At 45.1% G+C, this 25,278-nt stretch overlaps 10 annotated features.

The window, feature by feature from the left end:
• Nucleotides 5,747-6,041: a silencer, noted in NCBI's record as "tiled region #295; HepG2 Repressive non-DNase unmatched - State 23:Low, and K562 Repressive DNase unmatched - State 5:Enh". NCBI's record gives its function as "represses a minimal TATA promoter and a strong SV40 promoter by Sharpr-MPRA in HepG2 and K562 cells {active_cell/tissue: HepG2 | K562}" and the evidence as "EXISTENCE:reporter gene assay evidence [ECO:0000049][PMID:27701403]".
• Nucleotides 6,363-10,233: an enhancer, noted in NCBI's record as "VISTA enhancer hs2142". NCBI's record gives its function as "enhancer in: hindbrain (rhombencephalon)[7/8] | somite[8/8] | midbrain (mesencephalon)[7/8] | forebrain[6/8] | heart[7/8]" and the evidence as "EXISTENCE:transgenic organism evidence [ECO:0001131][PMID:17130149]".
• Nucleotides 6,586-7,170: an enhancer, noted in NCBI's record as "OCT4-NANOG-H3K27ac-H3K4me1 hESC enhancer chr10:75726920-75727504 (GRCh37/hg19 assembly coordinates)". NCBI's record gives its function as "activates a minimal SCP1, AML or CMV promoter by ChIP-STARR-seq in primed H9 embryonic stem cells {active_cell/tissue: H9 hESC(primed)}" and the evidence as "EXISTENCE:reporter gene assay evidence [ECO:0000049][PMID:30033119]".
• Nucleotides 7,171-7,756: an enhancer, noted in NCBI's record as "OCT4-NANOG-H3K27ac-H3K4me1 hESC enhancer chr10:75726334-75726919 (GRCh37/hg19 assembly coordinates)". NCBI's record gives its function as "activates a minimal SCP1, AML or CMV promoter by ChIP-STARR-seq in primed H9 embryonic stem cells {active_cell/tissue: H9 hESC(primed)}" and the evidence as "EXISTENCE:reporter gene assay evidence [ECO:0000049][PMID:30033119]".
• Nucleotides 7,757-8,341: an enhancer, noted in NCBI's record as "OCT4-NANOG-H3K27ac-H3K4me1 hESC enhancer chr10:75725749-75726333 (GRCh37/hg19 assembly coordinates)". NCBI's record gives its function as "activates a minimal SCP1, AML or CMV promoter by ChIP-STARR-seq in naive and primed H9 embryonic stem cells {active_cell/tissue: H9 hESC(naive and primed)}" and the evidence as "EXISTENCE:reporter gene assay evidence [ECO:0000049][PMID:30033119]".
• Nucleotides 7,927-8,221: a silencer, noted in NCBI's record as "tiled region #8411; K562 Repressive DNase unmatched - State 5:Enh". NCBI's record gives its function as "represses a minimal TATA promoter and a strong SV40 promoter by Sharpr-MPRA in K562 cells {active_cell/tissue: K562}" and the evidence as "EXISTENCE:reporter gene assay evidence [ECO:0000049][PMID:27701403]".
• Nucleotides 14,147-14,441: a silencer, noted in NCBI's record as "tiled region #4338; HepG2 Repressive non-DNase unmatched - State 3:PromF, and K562 Repressive DNase matched - State 5:Enh". NCBI's record gives its function as "represses a minimal TATA promoter and a strong SV40 promoter by Sharpr-MPRA in HepG2 and K562 cells {active_cell/tissue: HepG2 | K562}" and the evidence as "EXISTENCE:reporter gene assay evidence [ECO:0000049][PMID:27701403]".
• Nucleotides 15,217-15,366: an enhancer, noted in NCBI's record as "active region_3586". NCBI's record gives its function as "activates an Ori minimal core promoter by ATAC-STARR-seq in GM12878 lymphoblastoid cells {active_cell/tissue: GM12878}" and the evidence as "EXISTENCE:reporter gene assay evidence [ECO:0000049][PMID:35858748]".
• Nucleotides 16,917-17,424: an enhancer, noted in NCBI's record as "H3K27ac-H3K4me1 hESC enhancer chr10:75716666-75717173 (GRCh37/hg19 assembly coordinates)". NCBI's record gives its function as "activates a minimal SCP1, AML or CMV promoter by ChIP-STARR-seq in naive H9 embryonic stem cells {active_cell/tissue: H9 hESC(naive)}" and the evidence as "EXISTENCE:reporter gene assay evidence [ECO:0000049][PMID:30033119]".
• Nucleotides 17,612-17,711: an enhancer, noted in NCBI's record as "active region_3585". NCBI's record gives its function as "activates an Ori minimal core promoter by ATAC-STARR-seq in GM12878 lymphoblastoid cells {active_cell/tissue: GM12878}" and the evidence as "EXISTENCE:reporter gene assay evidence [ECO:0000049][PMID:35858748]".

Raw genomic sequence — 25,278 nt, 5'->3', positions numbered from 1 at the left:
ATTGAGATATAATTTATACACTATAAAATGTATACATTTAAAGTATAAGATTCAGTGATTTTTAGTATGTTTACAGAGTTTTGCAACCATCACCACAATCAATTTGGGAATTTTTTTTTTTTTTTTTGAGACAGGGTCTCACTCTGTTAGACAGGCTGGAGTGCAGTGGTGCAATCATGGCTCACTGCAACCTCTGCATCCTGGGCTCAAGCAATCCTCCTACCTCAGCCTCCTGAGTAGCTGGGACTACAGGACTGCGTCACCACACCACAGTAATTTTTTGTATTTTTTCTAGAGTTGGGGTTTCACCATGTTATCCAGGCTGGCCTTGAATGCCTGGCTTCAAGCAATCTGCCCACCTCAGCCTCCCAAAGTGCTGGGATTACAGGCATGAGTCACCTGTAATGCCCAGCCAATTTTGGAATATTTTTATCACCCCAAAAGAAACCTCCTACTCATTTGCAGTCCTCCTACTCATTTGCACCATCCCTACCCCTTGTCCTAGGTACCACTAATCTACTTTCTGTGACAATAGATTTGCATACTCTGGACATTTCATATAAATGGAATCATGCACTATGTGGTCCTTTGTGACCAGCTTCTTTCACTTAGCAAAATGTTTTCAAGGTTATTAATGTTGTAGCATGTATCAGTACTTCATTCCTTTTTATGACCAAATAATATTCCATATCTGACTATATTGCATTTTGCTGATTCATCACCAGTTAATGGGGCATTTGGATGGTTTCTACTTTTTGGCTATTATGAAAAATGTTATCATGAAAATTCATGTTTTTTGTTTGTTTTTTGAGACAGACTCTCACTCTGTGGCCCAGGCTGGAGTGCATGGCTCGATCTCGGCTCACTGCAACCTCCACTTCCCAGGTTCAAGCAATTCATGTGCCTCAGCCTCCTGAGTAACTGGGATTACAGGCATGTGCCATCACACCCAGCTAATTTTTGTATTTTTAGTAGAGATGGGGTTTCACCGTGTTGGCCAGGATGGTCTCAATCTCCTGACTTTGTGATCCACCCACCTCGCCCTCCCAAAGTGCTGGGATTACAGGCGTGAGCCACCACACCTGGCCATTCATGTACACGTTTTTGTATGGACATGTGTTTTCATTCCTCTTGGGTATGTACATAGGTCCATGAATTGATTTTTTTTTTTTTTTTTTGAGACGGAATTTCATTCTTGTTGCCCAGGCTGGAGTGCAATGGCGCGATCTCGGCTCACCGCAACCTCCACCTCCCGGGTTCAAGAGATTATCCTGCCTCAGCTTCCTGGGTAGCTGGGATTACGGGCATGTGCCACCACGCCCTGCTAATTTTGTATTTTTAGTAGAGATGGGGTTCCTCCATATTGGACAGGCTAGTCTCCAACTTCTGACCTCAGGTGATCTGCCTGCCTAGGCCTCCCAAAGTGCTGGGATTACAGGCGTAAGCCACTGCGACCAGCCAAATTGATATTTTTATGAGAAAGTCAATGATTATTTTCCAATCATTAAACTTTTATCTTTCTGATATATGGAGAACAGTAAGTGATAGTTAATGTGGGGCGAGGAAAGTGGAGAAGAAGTTAATAGGAACTTTCACTCAAGGTATAAAGGAATTTAAGAGCTTAGATGGTGAAGTGAAACTGCATAGTTTAAAATCCTGATTCTACTTTGGGAGGCCGAGGCGGGTGGATCACAAGGTCAGGAGTTCAAGACCAGCCTGGCCAATATGGTGAAACCCCGTCTCTACTAAAAATACAAAAATTTGCCGGTGTGGTGGCACGCACCTGTAGTCCCAGCTACTTGGGAGGCAGAGACAGGAGAATCGCTTGAACCCGGGAGGCAGAGGTTGCAGTGAGCTGAGATTGTGCCACTGCACTACAGCCTGGGTGACAGAGTAAGACTCTGTCTCAAACAAAACAAAACAAAACAAAACAAATCCTGATTCTACCTCTTACAAGATGTTTGCCTTAGGCAATTTATTTAACTCTCTGAGCTTCAGTTTCTTTGTCTATAAAATGGAGAAAAATATAACTACCTCATAAGATTGTTGTGAGGATTGAATCAGATAGCACTAAACCCAGTGACCAGCACATTGTAATGTTCACTAATAGTAATTATTGGCCAGCCACAGTGGCTCATGCCTGTAATCCCAACACTGAGAGGCTGAGGTGGGAGAACTGCTTGAGTCCAAGAGTTCAAGGCTGCCGTGAGACATGATTGCACCACTGCACTTCAGCATGGGCAACAGAGCAAGACCTTGTCTCAAAAAAAAAAAGTAATTATTATTAATAATTTACACACTGCTGCATTTTTATAATGAGCATGCATTGCTTTTGTAATTTAAAAAATAATTTTAAGATGCATGAAATCAACCTTAATTCTGTGTATTTACTAATGTAAATGCATTCTTACGTTACCAAATTGTGCTTTAAGCTGGAAAATAGTGCTTTGACCCTGTTTCCTTGCTGTCTGTGTTTTAGATTTACTGAGGAAATGGAGACTGCTTACTTAAAGCCTGTATCATGCTTTAGTTATTCTTTTCCATTTTACAAATCAGGAGGGAGAATTTCCTGGGCAAAAAATAATTCATGAAGTAGTGGTGCCATTTTTCACAAAAATTGATCCTGAGATGAATATTAATTGTGTAGTCTACAAAGAGTTAATTTTATTTCTCCATTGATAGTTTGGACCTTTGAAGTGAAGAAATTCTAACCGAACTCCTTTCTGACCCTTAAGCCTTTTTGTTTCCATGCAAAAGAAATCTGTTAATAATCTAGCATCTTGCCAAAGATTCTGTCTCATTTCTCTATAGCTGATTTGAGTATTCCATTTTAATTCACTGCCTGTGGAATTAGTAATTATATGATTTTTGTAGTGACTCCAATCTTAAATAATGATATCCTTCTAATAAGGCTTGTTCTATTTATAGGGCTTAAAGAGAAATTAGATTGTTAAGAAGAAACAACAGAAATACTAGAAATAACTATTAAAATATACTCAAATCTATTTTGTGGCCTGTTTTCTCATGCTTTATTTATATTTCTGGCCAAAAGAACAGGAGTACAAATGATGAGCATGTGAGGCCCTTGCCCTGGCTCCTCCCACCCATGCTTAGCCCCAGCAGTGGCCACTCACCAGGAGCTCCAAACGGGGTACCAGGGCCATTTTCCATTCCTAGGGAGACCTGCAGCCTTTTAACCAATCAACTTGTAAGTACCTACAAGGTAATAAGTACTATGTTCCAGATTTTCTTTGTGTGTTATATGTGTGTGTAACAGCTTTATTGAGATATAGTTTATATGCCCTACAATTCATTCATTTAAAGTATACAGTTTAATGATTTTTAGTATATTCACAGAGTTGTGCAACCAACATCACAATTTTAAAATATTTTCACTACCCAGCAACGGAAATTTCATACTCATTAGCAATAATTCCCCTTTTCTTCCCAGCCCCTACAGTCACTAATCTATTTTCTGTGTCTTTGAATTTACCTATTCTGGACATTTCGTATACATGGCATTATATGCTAAGTGGCTTTTTGTGCCAGACTTCTTTCACTTAGCATGAAGTTTTCAAGGATTGTCCATGTTGTAGCATGTAATCAGTACTCATCCATCTTAAGACTGAATAAAGGCTAGGCGTAGTGGCTCACGCCTGTAATCCCAGCACTTTGGGAGGCCAAAGTGGGCAGATCATGAGGTCAGGAGTTCGAGACCAGCCTAACCAACATGGTGAAACCCCATCTCTACTAAAAATACAAAAATTAGCCGGGCATGGTGGCACGTGCCTGTAATCCCAACTACTCAGGAGGCTCAGGCAGGAGAATCACTTGAACCCAGGAGGCGGAGGTTGCAATGAGCCAAGATCGCACCATTGCACCTAGGCAACAGAGTGAGACTCCATCTCAAAAAGAAAAAAAAAAAGACTGAATAATATTCCATTGTAGGGATGGATCACATTTTGTTTATCTGTTCATCAGTTGATGGGCATTTAGTTGGATGTTTCCATTTTTTGGCTATTGTTAATAAGGCTGGTATAAACATTTGTGTGAAAATTTTCGTGTGGACATGTTTTCATTTCCTTTGGGTATATATGTAGGAGTAGAATTGTTGAGTTACATGGTAACTCTACATTTAACCTTTTGAAGAACTGTCAGACTGTTTTCAAAAATGGCTGCACCATTTTACATCAAGGCTACTTATAACATTTACTTGGTCTGGGGTTAATTGATGTTCCATTTGGCTATGGACTTGGGAACAGGCTTTTGCTGTTCAGGTAAGAAACTTCTGTCAAAGTCAAAGTTTCTCTCTATATCACAATCCAAATTTAGCAATCTAAAAGAGTATGTGTTTTTCCACAGTTTTAAAAAATAAGACTATTAGTATTCTGTCTAGAAAGAAAAAGAGTAATTCTGCTTATCAAGTTTCCAGATTCCTTTAGCCTCTTATGGCACACTTGCCTCTTCTCACCGTAAGTGACTGTGTAGGCCTCAGGGGTAGATGGACTTAGGCACAGTGGTATAAATGAAAGGAGACTGCAATATGTCCTCTCGTCGTAGACCTATGCAGTCCCTGGCTGCCTGCCATAACACAATACCAAAGACTGGGTGGCTTAAGCAATAGGAACTTATTTATCATACTTCTAGAGGTGGGGAACTCCACCATCAAGGTGTTGGCTAATTCAGTTCCCCGGTGAGGGCTCTCTTCCTTGCCTCTTACAGACATCCACCTTCTCGATGTATCCTCACATGTTGTGGGCTGGAGGGAGCGACTGCCAGGGAGCAAGCTCTGTTCTCTGTTCCTCTTCTTATAAGGACACTAATCTCATCATGGGAGCCCTATCTTCATGACCTCATCTAAACCTAATTACCACCAAAAAGCCTCATCTCCAACCAAATACCATCACAATGGGGGTTAGGGCTTTGACAGATGAATTGTGAGGAAACATAAACATTTAGTCCATTACCCCTCCATGTTGCAACAAAGTTTTCCATTTCACTTGAAACAGCATCCCTGTTCACAGCAGTTACAAGTGCAGATGGGCCAATAAATGTCTTATTTTAGTCACTCACACCTAAGCATAAATTAGTTTTCTTTTCTTTTTTTTTTTTCTTTTTTTGAGATGGAGTTTCACTCTTGTTGCCCAGGCTAGAGTGCAACGGCTTGATCTTGGTTCACTGCAACCTCCGCCTCCCAGGTTCAAGTGATTCTCCTGCTTCAGCCTCCCAAGTAGCTGGGATTACAGGCACCCGCCACCACGACCAGCTAATTTTTTGTATTTTTAGTAAAGACGGGGTTTCACCATGTTGGCCCGGCTGGTCTTGAACTCTTGACCTCAGGTGATCCGCCCGCCTCAGCCTCCCAAAGTGCTGGAATTACAGGCGTGGGCCACTGCACCTGGCCTCTGAGCATAAATTAATACAAGCTTTCCTGTTCCTCTTAATCTCTGTTTAAGTACAATCAGCACAAACTAAGGGGTTCTGATAGTGGAGAAGGTACTGAAAAAGGATAGGAAAGGAGTAATTTTAGGGTCAATCTAGAATGTGCTACATGCATTACTTTGATTAGGTTATTTACTCCTCATAACAACTACATGAGCTAAGCACTATTATTTTTACTCAGAAAGAAAGGAAAAGGCTCAAAAAGTAACTTACTGAAGGCCATTTAGCAGATTGTATGTGTAGTGCTGGGATTTTACCCTAAATTTACTTAATTCTAGAGAATCAGAGCATCCTCCTTCTATCCTGAGTTGAGAGCCAACTCGGGCTGGGAAGGAGGTAGAGAGGGTAGGGGTGTATGCAAAAGCCAAACTTTGTCTTTTCTACACATTTTTTTCATGTCCCTGGTTGTCACAACCACTTGCTGGCAGCACCCCCGCCCCTCAGTGGTTTGGCTGTGCAGAAGTGCTAATAAGTCCCTAAATGCTTTCCAGCTTAGTGGAGCTACTGTACTCCCCTAAGTGAGGACGGCGGCAACAGTTGCTAACTGGGCCACACACACTCTGGCAAAACTTCCTTATTTGGAAAAGTCTTTTCCATCCTATTTGGGCAGAAAGAATACAATCTCACATTTAAGATAAACAAAATGCCTTGACCTACATCAGAAGGGGCACTCGAAAACACTAAAACCCAGCCAAACACCAAAAAGATCCGGTATATTCCTAGCTACTTCCCTTCAAGTGGAAGGTGGTGGGGGCAGGGCAATGCTCAGAGAGTTAAAAGAACATTCACGAATTCCTTTTTCTTTAACCCCAGAAGCTGTTCTAGTTAGCAATAAGCTTTGAATCTCAGTTATATGGAATTTAGCACACTTTTTACTAGAGTTAAGAAAATACACATTTTTAGATTGTTCATATCATTGAAGTTGGAAGAGGCCTGAGTGGCAGGACAGTATACTTCCTTGGGTATGATTTAGCATTGCTTTTAATACCCTGAGGAGAGGTTACATTTGAAAATACAAGACCAAGTAGGTATTTGCAGGGTGGGCCAGTGGGATCGACCTGAGTGTCCGCTCCTGTCACTCTTGGAAACTGTGACCAGCAGCAGCTTGTTAGAAAGATGAAAAGAGAAAACTTAAGTCTCAACTCTCCCCTTGCAGGGTGAACTTGGGCAAATGACTTAACCTCTCTGGGCCTCAGTGTGCTGGTGTCTGAAGAGGAGTTGACTAAATGACCTCCAACGGCCTTCCCTGTATTGGGGCATTCTTTTTATTTTTGAAACGGAGTCTCACCCAGGCTGGAGTGTAGTGGTGCAATCTCGGCTTACTCCAACCTCTGCCTCCTAGGTTCATGCGATTCTCCTGCCTCAGCCTCCGAGGAGCTGGGATTCAAGCGTGCACCACCATACTTGCCTAATTTTTGTATTTTTTTTTTTTTTTTTAGTAGAGATGGGGTTTCACCATGTTGCCCAGGCTGGTCTCAAACCCTGAGCTCAGGCAACCCGCCTGCCTTGGCCTCCCAAAATGCTGGGATTACAGGTATGAGTCACCACGCCTGGCCCCTTCCCAGTATGGGCATTCTATTTTGTGATTTCCATGATTGTGGAAAGGGCTTCTCTAGGCTTGGGTATGCAAAAGAACACATGGGTTTCCAGTGCCCTCTAGACCCACCCTGACTTCCCTCTTGGTCCTTTTGCTCCCTCAGCCCTTCCAGAGCTCAGCCCTTCCTGGGTCCTGGAGCGAACCCCTAAAAGCCCCATTGGTATGCAAAGCATAAGAAGCCTAATACCCTCCATACCTGAAGTCTGCTGTCACCACCTGGCCCCGGGTGATGATGATGAATTAAATCAGATAAAATAACTCTTATTGATATTAGCTAACATGTAACCCCCTTCCCCACAAAAATACCTTAAGAATAATTTGAATATATGTGCTTCCCCGTGAAAGGTCCTAAAATCTGCATTCCTCATTTCTTTTTTCTTTTTTTTTGAGATGGGGTCTCCCTCTGTCACCCAGGCTGGAGTGTAGTGGTGCGATCTCGGCTCACTGAAACGTATGCCTCCTGGGTTCAAACGATTCTCCCACCTCAGCCTCCTGAGTACCACCACAGCCCAGCGAATTTTTGTATTTTTAGTAGAGATGGGATTTCACCATATTGGTCAGGCTGATCTCGAACTCCCGACCTCAGGAGATCCACCCGCCTCGGCTTCCCAAAGTGCTGGGATTACAGGCATGAGCTACTGCGCCCGGCCTGCATTCTTCATTTCTGTGGGAAGGAGAGTGTTGATTGAATGGGCTTCCTGTGCCCCTCAAATTGCTTGAAAGTTAGGCTGCTTTCTCTGATCAGGGAAACTTGGAGAAGTTGTGTTATCTTGGCAGGAATATTGCAAAATCAAGATGGATATTTTGTTTTCTTCTGCATTAATCTGCAGCTAATGCCAGTGAACATTATCTGTGTTTAATTACATTCGCTAACCAACTGACACAACTTCCCCTGGGAAGAAGCTTATCCGACTCTGACTCATGCTTTACAACATGTTGGATTTGAGGAAATGGATAATATACGCCCTGCTGGCTTTGGAATTTTAAACAGAAACCCACATGCCGCCGAGTCTCCGGCTTACTCCCAAATATGGGAGAATCTGTGCCCCAGCAAGGGTGCAGGAGGCATGCTCAGTGTGACAAAAGGCAAAACCTGTGGTGTGTGCGGGGAGGGCCAGAGCCAGCAGCCACTTAAAGGAGAAGGAACAACTGCAGGGAAGGGAAGGGAGGCCAACATCCCAAGGCACTTTTCTAGAGTTAGCTTGATTATGTCATGGTAGTGAATGTCTGATTGAAAGTAAAACGTATCCCCAGCATCAGGGGCCAAAGAGGGACTGACCTTTAGAGGCGTTTAGAGCAGTACTCACAGGCACAGCACTTCTGAATTGGACGAGATGATACAAGCCTTGTGCTGGGCTAGCTGGGTCACCCTGAACCAGGTGAGAAACCTCCTGGTAGCCAGGGTGCCCCAGGATTCTCTAAGAAATAGAGCTGTCCCAGAACACAGCGATTGGGGTCATTTTTCTTGTGTCTGAACCAGGAGGGAGGGGGCAGTATTCCACCTCCCCCTCCTGCTATGGCTGAGCCCCTCCACCCCCGCAAACTCTCTTCCCTTCTGTGCCGTCCTTGTGCTTCTTCTCCTTAAAAAACCTTTATTGGGGCTGGGCACAGTGGCTCATGTCTGTAATCCCAGCACTTTGGGAGGCTGAGGCCGGTGGATCACCTGAGGTCAGGAGTTCGAGACTAGCCTGGCCAACATGGTGAAACCCCGTGTCTACTAAAAATAAAAAAATTAGCTGGGCATGGTGGTGCAGTTGCCTATAATCCCAGCTACTCTGGAGGGTGGGGCAGGAAGAACTGCTTGAACCCAGGAGGCAGAGGTTGCAGTGAGTCACGATTGTCCCACTGCACTCCAGCCTGGGCCACAGAGTGAGACTCTGTCTCAAATAAAAATAAAAAAAAAAGGCTGGGCTCAGTGGCTCATGCCTGTAATCCCAGCACTTTAGGAGGCCAAGGCGGCGGATCACCTGAGTTCGGGAGTTCGAGACCAGCCTGACCAACATGGAGAAACCCCGTCCCTACTAAAAATACAAAATTAGCAGGGCGTGATGGCGCATGTCCGTAATCCCAGCTACTTGGGAGGCAAGGCAGGAGAATCACTTGAATCCCAGAGGTGGAGGTTGCGTTGAGCCGAGATTGCTCCATTGCACTCCAGCCTGAGCAACAAGAACAAAACTCCATCTCAAAAAGAAAAGAAAAGAAAAACAACCCAATGATATAAAAATATAATAATAATCATTCCCATTTAAAGCATTTTCTTTGCATCAGACACCATACTAAAGCACTTAATGTGCATCATTTTGGCCAGGGGCCATGGCATATGTCTATAATCCCAAAGCTTTGGCAGGCCAAGGCAAGAGGATGGCTTTAGGCTAGAAGGTTGAGACAAGTCTGGGCGACATAGTGAGACCCCATCCCTACAAAAAGCAGAAAAAATTTGCCAGGCATAGTGGCACATGTCTATAGTCCCAGCTACTGAAGAGGATGAAGCAGGAGGATTGCTTGAACCCAGGAATTCAAGACTGCAGTGAGCTATGACGGGGCACACCACTCAAGCCTGGGTGACAGAGCCAGACCCTAACTCTTAAAAAAAAATGCATAGTTTAATTCAAACTTCTCAATATCCCTATGAAGTAAGTATATTATCATCCTTATTTACAGGTAAGAACATTAAAATTCATACAAGTGAAGTAAGTTGCCCAAGACCACACAGCTAGTACATGCAAAGCTGAGATTTAAACCCAGGTGGTAGGCTGGGCGCCGTGGCTCACGCCTGTAATCCCAGCACTTTGGGAGGCCAAGGCGGGCAGATCACTCGAGGTCAGGAGTTTAAGACCAACCTGGCCAACATGGTGAAACCCTGTCTCTACTAAAAATACAAAAAAATTAGCCAGGCGGGTCGTGGGCGCCTGTAATCTCCGCTACTCAGGAGGCTGAGGTGGGAGAGTTGCTTGAACCCAGGAGGTGGAGGTTGCAGTGAGCTGAAATCATGCCACTGTACTCCAGCCTGGGTGACAGAGCAAGACTGCATCTCAATAAAAAATAAAAATAAAAAATAAACCCAGGTGGTTGCTCTCCAAAGGTTGTGTGCGTCAGCTACATGTGCTGCCTTGAGAGGTACAAGAAATAGAAAAATATCAACTGCAACCCACTACTTAAAGATAATCATTGTTATCATGCTTCCAGACCTCTCTTTATACACATATGCCTGGTTTTATCCTGATTTCAGTAGAATAAAATCTAGGGTTGGTTAAACCTCCAGAAAGAGAGTGAATGAATTGTCCAGTGCAATTTATCCGATTTCTCCTCTCCTTTAAAAGCTCTAGCTCAAGGAATCTGCACTTGGGACTGAGTCCACTCTCCTGGTCTCCAAGAGGCTCAGGTGTTTTGCTGGATGCACCATCCCAAGCACACAGTAAGCACTCAATAAATTCTCTCCAATTGCATTGTGAGGGACAGGTTCTTCTGTCAGGGAGCATAGCTTCTGCTCCCACGAGCATATTTAAGAGTTGCAAGGCTGGACACGATGGCTCACAGTACTCTGGGAGTATTGTGGGAGGCCAAGGTGGGCGGATCACCTGAGGTCGGGAATTCGAAACCAGCCTGGCCAACATGGCGAAACCCCAACTCTACTAAAAATACAAAAATTGGTTGGGCGCAGTGGCTCACACCTGTAATCCCATCACTTTGGGAGGCCGAGGCGGGCGGATCGCCTGAGGTCGGGAATTCCAGACCAGCCTGACCAACATGGAGAAACCCTGTCTCTACTAAAAATACAAAATTAGCAGGGCGTGGTGGCACATGCCTGTAATCCCAGCTACTTGGCAGATCGAGGCAGGAGAATCGCTTGAACCTGGGAGGCGGAGGTTGCAGTGAGCCAAGATCGCACCATTGCACTCCAGCCTGGGCGACAAGAGTGAAACACCATCTCAAAAAAGCAAAACAAAACAAAACAAACAAACAAAAAACAAAAATTAGCCAGGTGTGGTGGCACATGCCTGTAATCCCAGCTACTTGGGAGGCTGAGGCATGAGAATCGCTTGAACCCGGGAGGTGGAGGTTGCAATGAGCCCAAATGGTGTCACTGCACTCCAGCCTGGGCAACAAAGTGAGACTCTGTCTCAAAAAAAAAAAAAAAAAAAAAAAAAAAAAAAGCCGGGCGCGGTGGCTCATGCCTGTAATCCCAGCACTTTGGGAGGCCGAGGCGGGCGGATCACGAGGTCAGGAGATCGAGACCATCCTGGTTAACACGGTGAAACCCCGTCTCTACTAAAAATACAAAAAATTAGCCGGGCGAGGTGGTGGGCGCCTGTAGTCCCAGCTACTTGGGAGGCTGAGGCAGGAGAATGGCGTGAACCCGGGAGGCGGAGCTTGCAGTGAGCCGAGATCACGCCACTGCACTCTGGCCTGGGCGAAAGAGCGAGACTCCGTCTCAAAAAAAAAAAAATAAAAAAAAGCGTTGTGGGTTCTTTTGCCCCTCCAGATGGTGCTGGTGCTGGAGCCAAGTAAAGAACCACTTGCCCCAGTGAGCCTAGAAGACACAGGCATGCCATCACTCAGAGAGCAAAACTGATCCTACTACTGTAGTCCCATTTAAAGCCCTTGGTGCATTTATAATCCTGTCTTTCTCATGGCTGCTGATGAGGAGGGAAGCTTTGGGGACAAAGATGGACACAGGCCAGGTTGTATATGTGTATTCTGGGAGTTGGGGGAGCGAAGTTACTGTAGCAAAACCTGGATTCAATGGCACTTCTGGACCTCACAGGAGCTCCTGTCATCTGGGCCAGCCTAGCTTCAGGGGGATGGAGAACCACCCTTAGCTAATGGAGGGGCTCACTTTAAAGGGCAGTGGCATTTCCCTGCCTGGTCATGAAACCTTAGCTGAGCAAGCAGAGCGAATGCTTGTCACATCAAGGCAGGCCATGACAGAAGCTAGTTAGGGACTCAGGGAAACCCATCTTTCCTTCCCACTTCCCACTAACCAGCACTTCCCTGCCACACACACACAAGCACATACTTTCTCTGGAAAAAAAAAAAGATATCACAAAATGCTAAATTTTGTTATGTGTATTTTACTACAATTTGTAAAAACCAGGTTCAAGGTAGGCTGCAGTGGCTCACGCCTGTAATCACAGCACTTTGGGAGGCCGAGGTGGGCAGACCATGAGGTCAGGAGTTCGAGACCAGCCTGGGCAATGTGGTGAAACCCTGTCTGTACTAAAAAATACAAAAAAATTAGCCAGGCATGGTGGCACACGCCTGTAGTCCCAGCTACTCAGGAGGCTGAGGCAGGAGAATTACTTGAACCCAGGAGGCGGAAGTTGCAGTGAGCTGAGATCATGCCACGGCACTCCAGCCTAGGCGACAGAGCAAGACTCTGTCTCAAAAAAAAAAAAAACTCAAAAAACCAGGTTCAATACCAAACCAGGTTCAACATTCTATTCTCTTTCCTTGTCCCTACATCTATGTATTCCCCAGTTGTTTCTCCAAACACTGTAATACACATTTTTGTATTTGATCCCCTCAACTTGTGGTATAATGAGTAGTTATTGTTAGTTACCAGAACCAGGGACTACTAATTTTTTCTTTTAATTAACTTTTTGTTGGTATAACATATATACAGAAAAGTGCACAAACCATATACAAATTACATAAATATCTATAAATTTGCAAAAGGCAAAACACTCCCGAGTGACTAATACCTAAAGGAAGGAACAGAACATCGCGAGCACCCCAAAAGCCCCCTCTTGACACCTTCTAGTCACTAATCTCCCAAGGGTAATTCTTATCCATGGGTGAACAGCATAGATTAATTTTACCTATTTTTGAACTTGACATAAATGGAACCATCAGTATATGCTCTTCTGTGTCTGATATCTTCCATGTAATATTATGGTTGTGATAGTCATCCATGTGGTTGTGCTTAGTGATACATTATTTATTCCCGTTGCTGTGTAGCACTCCATTGTATGAATTCACCATGATTTATTTATCCATTCTATTGTTGGTGGACATTTGAATTGTTTCTGTTCTTAGCTTTTACATATAGTGCCACTATGAACATTGTTTTTTCGTGTTTTTTTTGGTGACAGAATCCCGCTCTGTCGCCCAGGCTGGAGTGCAGTGGCGCGATCTCGGCTCGGCTCACTGCAAGCCCTGCCTCCTGGGTTCACGCCATTCTCTCGCCTCAGCCTCCTGAGTAGCTGGGACTACAGGCGTCTGCAACCACGCCTGGCTAATTTTTTGTATTTTTAGTAGAGACAGGGTTTCACCATGTTAGCCAGGATGGTCTCGATCTCCTGACCTCGTGATCCACCCGCCTCGGCCTCCCAAAGTGCTTGGATTACAGGCGTGAGCCACCACACCCAGCCAAACATTCGTATAGATGTTTTTATGTATATGAACATGCATTTTTTTAGAAACGTAATTGCTTATCACACCTTTTGCATATGTTCCACTTTGATAGTTGTCAAATGGTTTTCTAAACTGGCAATTTACATTCTCACTAGCCACATGTGAAAGTTCCAGTTGCTCTATGTCCTCACCAATACTGTGTTGTCTGTCTTTTTCATTTTAGCCATTCTGGTGAATGTACAAGGATATCTTATTGTATTTTAACTTGCATTTTCTTGCCAATTAATGAATTGGTGTCTTTTTGTATATTTATTAGCCATTTGGGTATTTTGAGATGTTTTAAAGGGTGTTCTTTCTCCTGGTTATGAAAATAATACATGCTGAGGTGGGTGAATCACTTGAGGTCAGGAGTTTGAGACGAGCCTGGCCCACATGGTGAAACCCTATCTCTACTAAAAAATACAAAAATTAGCCAGGTGTGGTGGCATGCACCTGTAATCCCAGATACCCAGGAGACTGAGGCAGGAGAATCACTGGAACCCGGGAGGTGGAGGTTGCAGGGAGCCCAGATAGTGCCACTGCACTCCAGCCTGGGTGACAGAGTGAGATTCTGTCTCAAACAAACAAACAAACAAAACCATGCTAATTGAAGAAGGTTTGGCAAATACATAGTGGCTTTGTACTATGTCAGTTTAGCTAAACTGAAACTATGTTTTTCAGAATTTCTTTCTCTGTATGGTTCTGGGCTAGGGTTGGCCACAGAAAATTTGCACAAGATTGGAGGGCAGAGGTGAAGCAAACATGCTTATGCTCAGAAGGTCAGTGTAGAGGCAGGTGCCGTTCTAACTTATGGTATCTCAGATCTGCTAGCTCACCCTGTGGCCATGGGATAGACTTGAGCCTACATCTCCTTCAGCTCCCATGACAGATCTTCCTTCAGCATTTTCAGTCCCTGAGTCAGGTCTGTGTTCAGCTTTATGATGAAGGTTCAGCAATTCCTGCAGGTCGCCCACATAATTGAAGTAGGAAGTTTTAGAGGCAGTGAGACATTGATACAGGCTCTATTTCATCCTGTGGGTGCCCTCTGGTTCTTTTGGACTCCCACTGGTCCTTACTGTCCCATACTTCATGTCTACCTGTTATTTCTGACTTCAGTCCCAGCACCAGAAACAGAAGCAACTGTTGTATACAAACTGCTTAACCAGTTCCCACATTGCATAACACCAAAACCCCACAAGAAACATCTTACTCTATGCCGTGCCTGATAATTCTGCTTCTCTAATTAAGCCTTGACCAATAATAGGCATTAAGAAGTAAACCATGGCCAAGCACAGTGACTCACGGCTGGAATCCCAGCACTTTGGGAGACCAAGGCGGGTGGATCGCCTGAGGTCAGGAGTTTGAGACCAGCCTGACCAACATGGTGAAACCCCATCTCTACTAAAAATACAAAAATTAGCCAGGTGTGATGGTACACGCCTGTAGTCCCAGCTACTCAAGAGGCTGAGGCAGGAGAATGGCTTGAACCCAGGAGGCAGAGGCTGCAGTGAGCTGAGATCACACCACTGCACTCCCGTCTGGGGTGACAGAGTCAGGATCCGTCTCAAAAAAAAAGGAAACCAGGCCAGGCACAGTGGCTCACATCTGTAATCCCAGCACTCTGGGAGGCCGAGGAGGGAGGATAACCTGAGCCTATGAGTTCAAGACCAGCCTGGGCAATATAGCAAGACCCTATCTCTACAAAAAGTTAAAAAATTAGCCAGGCATAGTGGCATATGCCTATAGTCCCAGCCACTTGGAAGGCTGAGGTGGAAGGATCACTTGAGCCCAGGAGATCAAGGCTGCAGTGAGCTGTGATCACGCCGCTGCACTCCAGCCTGGACAACAGAGCAAGACCCTGTCTCCCACTCCAAAAAAAGTAAACCAAACTCGCCTGTAATTCTATACCCAGAGAGGACCACTATCGACATCTTAGTGTGATTCTTCCTGCCTGCGGTATTTTAAGTGAAGAGAATGAGCCTGAGACAGGTTAGATGACTGCTCAGCTTTCAACTAGCTGGTGGCAGAGCTGTGCCTTCAGAAGTCTGGTTTCATCTCTGCTCAACTAGCATCACTTCCACTGTGCCTCAGAATCCCTAAGTGACCCTTTACTCCTCTGACCTTCCTGGGAGGCCTTCTTGCTCTGAGCACAAGCTCTGGGGCATGTGAAAGCAGCCATTATCCGTATCTTCCCGAGCTCTGCAGCCACCTGCTTTGACAGCTTCCCCATTTTGTTCTAACCAAACTGCAGGAGTTTCACCTTCCTGTTCCTCTTCAGAAAACAAACAAAAAACTATCTCTTTTTTTTTTTTTTTTTGAGACAGAGTCTCACTCTGTTGCCCAGGCTGAAGGTGCAGTGGCACAATGGCTCACTGCAGCCTCCGTGCCCCACCCCGGGTTCAAGCTAGTCTCCTGCCTCAGCCTCCTGAGTAGCTGGGATTACAGGCGCCCACCGCCACGCTCAGCTAAATTTTGTATTTTTAGTAGAGATGGGGTTTCACCATATTGGCTAGGCTGGTCTCGAACTCCTGACCTCAGGTGATCCACCCACCTTGGCCTCCCAAAGTGCTGGGATTACAGGTATGAGCCACCGCTCCCAGACACAAAAAAAAAGATCTTTACAAGATCTTTTAGGTGGGCGCAGTGGCTCACATCTGTAATCCCAGCATTTTGGGAGGCTGAGATAGGCAAATTGCTTGAGCCCAGGAGTTCAAGACCAGCCTAGGCAACATACGGAGACCCTGTCTCTACAAAACATACAAAAAAAAAATCAGCCAGTGTGTGTGTGTGCCTGTAGTCCCAGCTACTTGGGAGGCTGAGGCAGGAGGATCACCTGAGCCCTAGAGGTTGAGGCTGCAGTGAGCCGTGATGGTGCTACTGCACTCGAGCCTGGCCAATAGAGTAAGAGTGAGATCTTGTCTCAAAAAAACAAAAAGGAAATTAAAAAAAAAAAACTCTAGCCAGCCATGGTGGCTCATGCCTGTAATCCCAGCACTTTGGGAGGCCGAGGTGAGCAGATCACGAGGTCAGGAGTTCGAGACCAGCCTGGCCAACATGGAGAAACCTCGTCTCTACTAAAAATACAAAAATCAGCCAGGCATGGTGGTGTACCTGTAGTCCCAGCTACTGGGGAGGCTGAGGCGGGAGAATCACTTGAACCCGGTAGGTGGAGGTTGCAGTGAGCCAAGATCACACCACTGTACTCCAGCCTGGGCAACAGAGCGAGACTCCGTCTCAGAAAAAAAAAAAAAAAAGAAAAATATATATATATATTTTAAAAGTCATGCCATGTCATCCGCATATCTCCATCTGGAGCACTAACAGAGAAGTGGTGGCCACCAGGGGGCCAGAGAGAGCCCAAAGCCCTCCCCTCCCTACCAAACACAGGTGTCAGAGACATGGTCCTCTAAGTAAGCATTACTATCTCAAGGTTTCTCTTAACATATAAGTACTCCTGAGAGGGGGAACACAAGAAATCCTGAATTCTTCAGAATGAATAATTCAGAAGATGTAGTGATAAGTGATACGGTGTCATCAAAGCTTTGGTAGACAACAGTGAGCAGGGCTTGGCTGGGGAAGAGAAGGCAAAAACAAACTTTGCCTACTTTGCCTATTGTCTGGGAGCCTCTTGGACTCTGGGTTTTACAATAACAAGAGGTAACGGCTTTTCTGCCAAACCTGTGTCCTGGGCCTGGGCTCAGCTCCTCATTTGGAGGTGGAGGAACTAGGAGGGCAGATTTGCTTTCCTGAGAACAGAACCAGAGAGAAGCAATTGGGAATGGAGCGTAATTTAGAAACCAGTGATGGTGAGAAGCAGCTGGTGGCTCACTCCCGGCATGTCAGTCCTGCCTGGCTGGTTTCTTGAAGAGGAACAAGAATGCTGTATTTAAGGTTTCTTGCTTTTCCCCCCCACTTCCAATGGCTGCAGATACTGGCGGCCTCTTTCCTGGTCTGCTCCTGTCACTGCCCTCTGAGTGGAAGGGACGGTTGCCCCACAGATTGGCTGAAGAGCTGGAGCCTCAGGCTGGCAGGGAGGCCACAGCCCAAAGCACAGGGGCACCCAGGGGTAACATTATCCTGCCAAAGCCAAACAAGGAACTGAGTGTTTAGAATAACTTTAAGAAAGTTGTGGGCGTTTTCTCTGTCAGGGAAACCAGAAACCACAGTGAGATAATGGATAGCTATATTCAGGTCACAGATTATCAGCTGCCACTGCTGCTTCCTGTTCAAATTTGATGAAACTTCTTTCTAGTCACTGGAGCCTCCTGGATTCTGCGGGCATGTCAGCATTTAGTGATGTGGGACTCAGAGTTCCACCTAAGGACCTGACATAACCCGGGGGCAGAAACCGTTCTTTTGGGGTGAGGCTTCAGGGGCCAGCTCCTGGTGGAGGAGATGGTAGGTAAGGGGCCAACAGTAAGAATACAGTTTCCCGAACTTTTAGGGTGCTTCAGGCTCTTGGGCTAGGAGATTTTTGTGCATTATCTCATTTGACTCTCAAACCACCCTATGAGAGAGGTACTATTAGGATCCCTTATTTATTTATTTTATTTTATTTTAGAGACAGGGACTTGCTCTGTTGCCCAGACTGGGGTCCAACGAGGCAATCAGGGCTCACTGCAGCCTCCACCTCCTGGGCTTAAGGGATCCTCCCACCCCAGCCTCCTGAGTAGCTAGGACTATAGGCTCATGCCACCACACCTGGCTAATTTAAAAATTTTTTTATTTTGTTGAGACAGGCCTCACTTTGTTGCCCAGGCTGGTCTCAAACTCCTGGCTTTGAGCAATCCTCCCGCCTTGGCCTCCCAAATTGCTGAGATTATAGGTGTGAGCCACCTAGCCTGGCCTGTGATCCTCATTTTATGGGTGAGGAAAGGGGCTCAGAAATGTTGTCAATTGTCCAAGGGTCACAGGGGCAGAACTGGAAACCAAAATCAAAATCAGGATTTTTTTTTTACTTTCTTTCTTTCCCTCTCTTTCTTTCTTCCTTTCTTTCTTTTCTTTCTTTCTCCTCTTCCTCCTCCTCCTTTCTCTCTCACATAGTACTTTATTGAACTATAACTTACATATACCTACTATGTAATATATTAGGCCATGTCCACATAATTGTCCACATAATATGTGGTATACACTTATACCATTATGTCCATGTAGCCACCACCCGGATCAAAATGAGACTATTTCTATCACACTCCAGAGTTCCTTCATGCCCCTTTCCAGCAAATACTCACTCCCCCTAGCCTCCAATGTAACCAATATTCTGACCTCTATTCTCATAGATTAATTTTACCTATTCTCGAACTTCGTGTAAATAGAATCATATTCTTGTCCAGGAGTGATGGCTCACACCTGTAATCCTAACACTTTGGGAAGCCGAGGCAGGCAGATTGCCTGAGGTCAGGAGTTCGAGACCAGCCTGGCCAACATGGTGAAACCCCATCTCTACCAAAAATACAAAAAGTTAGCTGGGCATGGTGGCACACACCTGTAGTGCCAGCTACTCAGGAGGCTAAGGCATGAGAATCACTTGAACCCAGGAGACAGAGGTTGCAGTGAGCTGAGATTGCACCACTGCACTCCAGCCTGGGCAACAGAGCTAGACTCTGTCTCCCAAAAAAAAGAAAAAGAAAAAATAGAATCATATTCTTGTATGTGGTTTCTTCTGTTCCATATAGTATGTCTGTGGATTTTCCCACATTGCTGTACCAGCAGTATGTTCCTTTTTTATGCTGAATTGTATTCCGTTTTATGAATCTACCACCCAATTTATTTATCCATCCTCCTGTTGAATACTTAGATTTTTCTTTCCAGTTTCAGGCTATTTTGAATAACACTGCCATGAACATTCTTATTAGGGGGAAATATGTTTAACTTTATTAAGTACACCAAACAATTTTCCAAAGAGATTGGGCCATTTTATATTCCCAACAGCCCTGTACGAGAGTTCTAGTTGTTCTACATCCTTGTTAACACATGGAATTGTCAGTCTTTTCATTTTAGCCATTAGAGTGAGGGTGAGAAATCAGGTCTTTCTTATTCCAAAGCCTATGCAGCATCATAAAACACTCAATCTGGCTGGGCATGGTGGCTCATGTCCGTAATCCCAGTACTTTGTGAGGCCAAGTGGGGGTGAATCACCTGAGGTCAGGAGTTCAAGACCAGCCTGGCCAACATGGTGAAGCCCTGTCTCTACTAAAAATACCAAAAAAAAAAAAAAAAAAGCCATGCATGGTGGTGCACACCTGCAATCCCCACTGAGGCAGAAGAATCGCTTGAACCTGGGAGGTGAGGTTGCAGTAAGCCAAGATTGCACCACTGCACTCCAGCCTGGGCAACAGAGCGAGACTCTGTCTCAAACAAGTAAATAAGGCTGGACGTAGTGGCTCATGCTTGTAATCCCAACACTTTGGGAGGCTGAGGTGGGTGGATCACCTGAGGTCAGGAGTGACCAGCCCGGCCAACATGGTGAAACCTCGTCTCTATTAAAAATACAAAAATTAATCGGGCGTGGTGGCAGGCGCCTGTAATCCCAGCTACTCAGGAGGCTGAGATAGGAGAAATGCCTGAACCCAGGAGGCGAAGGTTGCAGTGAGCCGAGATCGAGCCACGGCACTGCAGCCTGGGTGACAGAGCAAGACTCTGTCTCAATAAATAAATAAATAAATAAAATAATAAATAAATCACTCAATCTGAGCTCCTGCCACATCCATGACTCCCTGTCCTGAGGAATAACAGGCCTAAATGCCACTTAATCCTGGCAGCAAGGATGGGAAGCAGCTCCCCAGCACGGCAGGATGCCGTGGAAATCCACCTCCTTCATCATTTCTGAAGGGTACCCACCAACTTCAAGGTTGGATGTGTACATGCCATTTTCTGGGAAAGACTCTCAGAAAATGCTCTCTTGTGGCTTTGGATACAAGGGTGCTCCAAGTGTGTGGCCAGTGTGGTCAGAGCCTAGTGGCGTAAGCCTTCTTCTTCTTTCCTAACAGCTTTGAAGTGGTTCAAGCCAGAACATCAGAGGGATCTTGAGGACAGGGCCTGGCCCAGCACTGTGGTTGGAAGCATAAAAACCCTCAAGTTACATTCCAGCTTGGCCTCATCTCCTAACATGACCTTAGGCAAGTCATTTAACCTGTGACTCAGTTTTCTCAACTCTTAAATGGGGCAACAATGCCTGCACTCCATTCCATACAAGGTCTCTCAAAGGCTCCTTACTGTTTCTAGAGTGTCTGTTTCTCAGCTCATCTTCCCCCCATGTCCACTGTGCTTCTGCCTCATTGACCAACTGAATGTTCATGAAAAGGATGTCCTCTTTCACTCCTCTGTATTGTTATAAAAGGTACTTTATGCAAGATGGTCTCTTTTTTCTGCAATGCCCTTTCTCACCCAGTCCAACTGGCAAACTCCTCCTCATTCCTCAAAACTCAGCTTAAGCAGCACCTCCTCTGTGAAGCCTTCCCTGGTCATCCCTGGACCCTCCTGGCAGATGGATGACCCCATAGTATTTGGTATTATACATCCTCACAAACTACATTATTTTCTTGTGAGTCTTCCCACCAGACTATGAGCTTAAGAAGAAGCACCATCTCAGGCACATAGCAGATGCTCAATGAACATTTATTGAAGCATGAGTGAATATTAAATAAAAAGAAATATGGAAATAGTCAAAAAGGAAAATTAAACCATCATTATTGTCTCTGATAATTAAAGAAATGTATACATATTGTAGGGCCGGGCGTGGTAGCTCACACTTGTAATCCCAGCATTTTGGGAGGCCAAGATGGGCGGATCACTTGAGGCTAGGAGTTCGAGACCAGCCTGGCTAGTATGGTGAAACACTATTTCTGCTAAAAACACAAAAATTAGCCAGGCGTGATGTGGCGTGCCTGTAGTATCAGCTACTTGGGAGGCTGAGGCAGGTGAATTGCTCGAACACGGGAGGTGGAGGTTGCAGTGAGCCAAGCCAAGATCCTGCCACTGTACTCCAGCCTGAGCAATAGAGTGAAACTCTATCTCAAAAAAAAGTGTGTGTGTGTGTATGTGTGTGTGTGTATATATATATATGTATATATATATATACACACACACATATTTTTCCCCAAAATAAAAATATGTATACATTTTTCCCATAACTGGGGTTATACTGTTCTGAATCTATTTTTTTATTATATCATAAACATCTTTTCAAAAATAAATTGAGGTCTGGCATGGTGGATTATTCCTATAATCCCAGTACTTTGGGAGGCCAAGGCAGGAAGATTGCTTGAGATCAGGTATTCTAGACTAGCCTGGGCAACATAGCAAGACCCCGTCTCTACAAAAATAAAAAAATTAGCTGGGCATGGTGGTGCATGCCTGTAATTCTAACTACTTGGGAGGCTGAGAAAGGAGGATTGCTTGAGCCCAAGAATTCAAGGCTGCAGTGAGCTCTGATTGCACCACTGCACTCCAGCCTGGGTGACAGAGCAAGACCCTGTCTCAAAATAAAATAAAATATGACCAGCCTGGGCAACACAACAAAACCCCATCTTTACTAAAAATATAAAAATTAACAGCATGTGGTGGCATGTGCCTGTAGTCCCAGCTACTTGGGGGACTGAGGCAGGAACATTGCTTGAACCTGGGAGGTAGAGGCTGCAGTGAGCCGAGATGGTGCCACTGCACTCCAGCCTGGGCAACAGAGGGAGACCCTGTCTCAAAAAGAAAAATAAAATAAAAAGTTGAAAGAACAGGTCCAAAACTTGGTAAATAGGTTGGAGTGAAAAACTTAAGGACTGAATTTTCTTTTCAATTCACCATTCTGAGAAACCTAAAAAAAAATCCCCTTATTTATTTATTAATTCATTCACTCATTTATTCTTTTTAATTACAGAGGTTATGCCTGTGTACTGTGACAAATTCAAATACCACAGAAATGTGTAAATAAAAAAGTAGATGTCTCTCATATATGCATATGCGTGTGTGTGTGTGTATATTTTATATATATATATATATATACATACATACTTTTTTGTTTTTTGAGATGGAGTCTTGCCCTGTTGCCCAGGCTGGAGTTCAATGGTGTGATCTCGGCTCACTGCAACCTCTGCCTCCCAGGTTCAAGCGATTCTCCTGCCTCAGCCTCCCGAGTAGCTGGGATTACAGGCACCCACCACCACACCCGGTTAATTTTTTTTTGTATCTTTAGTAGAGATGGGGTTTTACCATGTTGGCCAGGCTGGTCTTGAACACCTGACCTTGTGATCCGCCCACCTTAGCCTCCCAAAGTGCTGGGATTACAAGCGTGAGCCACCGTGCCTGGCCATATACATACTTTTAAAAAAGAAAAATAATACTGTACTATATATGTTCTATAACTTTCTTTTTTTACTTAATAGCTCATGGACATTTTTCTTTCTTTTTTAGAGTTGGAGTCTCACTCTGTCGCCCAGGCTGGAGTGCAGTGGCATCATCATAGCTCACTGCATCCTCGAACTCTTGGGTTCAAACAACCCTCCCACCTCAGCCTTCTGAGTATCTAGGACAACAGGCATGCACCACCAGGCCTGGCTGATTTTTTTATTTTTTACTTTTTGTAGAGACGGAGTCTCACTATATTGCTCAGACTGGTCTCAAATTCCTGGGCTCAAGCAATCCTCCTATTTCAGCCTCCCGAAGGGCTGGAATTACAGGCATGAGCCACCATGCCTGGCCCTCATGGGCATCTTTCTATATCTGCAAATATTTATCAATTATAATTATATATCAAATATATATCAAAAGAACAATATACATTGTTCTTTTTATGGTTGCCTAGTATTTCACTGAATAATGTACTATAATTTAGATGTCATCTAACCCTGTGCTAATACAATATATCCATTAAATAAGTACTTATTGAGCATCAATAGGAGAAATCAAATGACACTATGGGGCTTGCAATAACAGGTTTACCCCAGGATGCTATGGGAGCCCAGAGGAGACACAGACTGGGGGGCCTGTGTTTGGCAGCATCTGCAGCACTGCAAACAGAACTGGGAAGCATGGCTGGAAAGACCAGCTGCCCAGCCCAGCGCTCTGCCTCCCACCAGGACTTGCATTTCATTGGCCAGAACAAGGCAGGATCCAGGACCCCCAGAGGGAGCATCCAGGAACGCAAGCTGAACAGAGCAAGCACAGTTTGCTTTACAAGAACAAACTAGTTTTGCAGAAGCAGGAAATTTCTCTCATACTTTAGGTCCTAAAATAGAAGAAATATGCTGGGATGCACAGGGATCTGGGGAATTTGGTTAACATCGTAAAGTAAATTTGATGTGCATTTCGAATCTGATCATCTTAATGTGAGTTGTTACACTCTTCTCAAAAAAGGCTTTCATCGAAAATCAAGGAGTGTTCACACAGTGATAAAATGGAACAAAGAAAACACCTCTAAATATTGCTGGTCCCAAAGGTGCAGGTCCCTTCGTTCGCTGTTGGGGAAACTAAATCCGCAGCTTACAGGGCTGAGCTTGGCCTGACCCAGCCTTCCTCTTCAGTCTGGCTTCCCAGATTCTCTCCCCGCACACTGGTCCCAATACTCCTCCGCCTCAGCACACTCTGTCCCACCTCAGGGCCTCCACACAGACCTACCCTTTGTCTGGAAGGCTCTCTCCCCCTCAGTCTTCCCCCCAGTCCCCCAGTCTTCCTTGTCTAGACCACGCACGACTAATTTTATTTTGTATTTAGTAGAGACGGGGTTTCACCATGTTGGTCATGCTGGTCTCAAACTCCTGACCTCAAACGATCCATCTGCCTCCCAAAGTGTTGGGATTACAGGTGTGAGCCACCACGCTGGGCCCATTACTTTTGTAATTAAGAAATACTAGGCTGGGGCTGGGCGCAGTGGCTCACACCTGTAATCCCAGCACTTTGGGAGGCCGAGGCAGGTGGATTACCTGAGGTCAGGAGTTCAAGACCAGCCTGGCCAACATGGCGAAACCCTGTCTCTACTAAAAATACAAAAATTAGTCAGGCTTGGTGGCATGCGCCTGTAGTCCCAGCTACTCGGGAGACTGAGGCAGGAGAATCGCTTGAACTCTGGAAGCGGAGGTTGCAGTGAGCCTAGATGGGACCACTGCACTCCAGCCTGGGAGACAGAGTGAGACTCCATCTCAAAAAGAAAAAAAAGGAAATACTAGGCTGGGTGCAGTGGCTTTTACCGGTAATCCCAGCACTTTAGGAGGCTGAGGCAGGTGGATCACATGAGCCCAGGAATTCGAGATCAGCCTGGGTAACATGGTGAAACCTTGTCTCTACAAAAAATACAAAATATTAGCCAGGCATGGTGGTGCGCACCTGTAGTCTCAGCTGCCCAGAATGCTGAAATGCAAGGATCACCTGAGTCTGGGAGGTCGAGGCTACAGTGAGCCATGATTATGCCATTGTACTTCAGCCTGGGTGGCAGAGTGAGACCCTGTCTTAAAATAAATAAATAAATAAATAAATAAATAAATAAATAAATAAATAAATAAAAGGTGCAGTGGTTCACGTCTATAGTCCCAGCTATTCGAGAGGCTGAGGCATGAGAATCGCTTGAACCCGGGAGGCAGAGGTTGCAGTGAGCTGAGATCGTGCCACTGCACTCCACCAGCATGGGCGACAGAGCAAGACTGTCTCAACAACACCAACAACAAAAAAAAAAAAAAAAGAGAGAGAGAAAAATACTAAAGACCGAAAAGAAAGGAAGAATAAATAAGAATAAATACAAATACTGTTGGACCACACATAAAGTTCATACTGTACATCTGAATACATGCACAGTAACAGGCAGACATGTAAACATGTTCATAGCTCTCTGACCAACAATAAGAGCACACACACTCTCCCCT

This window comes from Homo sapiens, chromosome 10 (assembly GCF_000001405.40).
Source record: "Homo sapiens chromosome 10, GRCh38.p14 Primary Assembly".
NCBI lineage: Eukaryota > Metazoa > Chordata > Mammalia > Primates > Hominidae > Homo > Homo sapiens.
The sequence above is the reverse complement of the archived record's forward strand: the minus strand, read 5'-3'. Positions and strand labels throughout refer to the sequence as shown.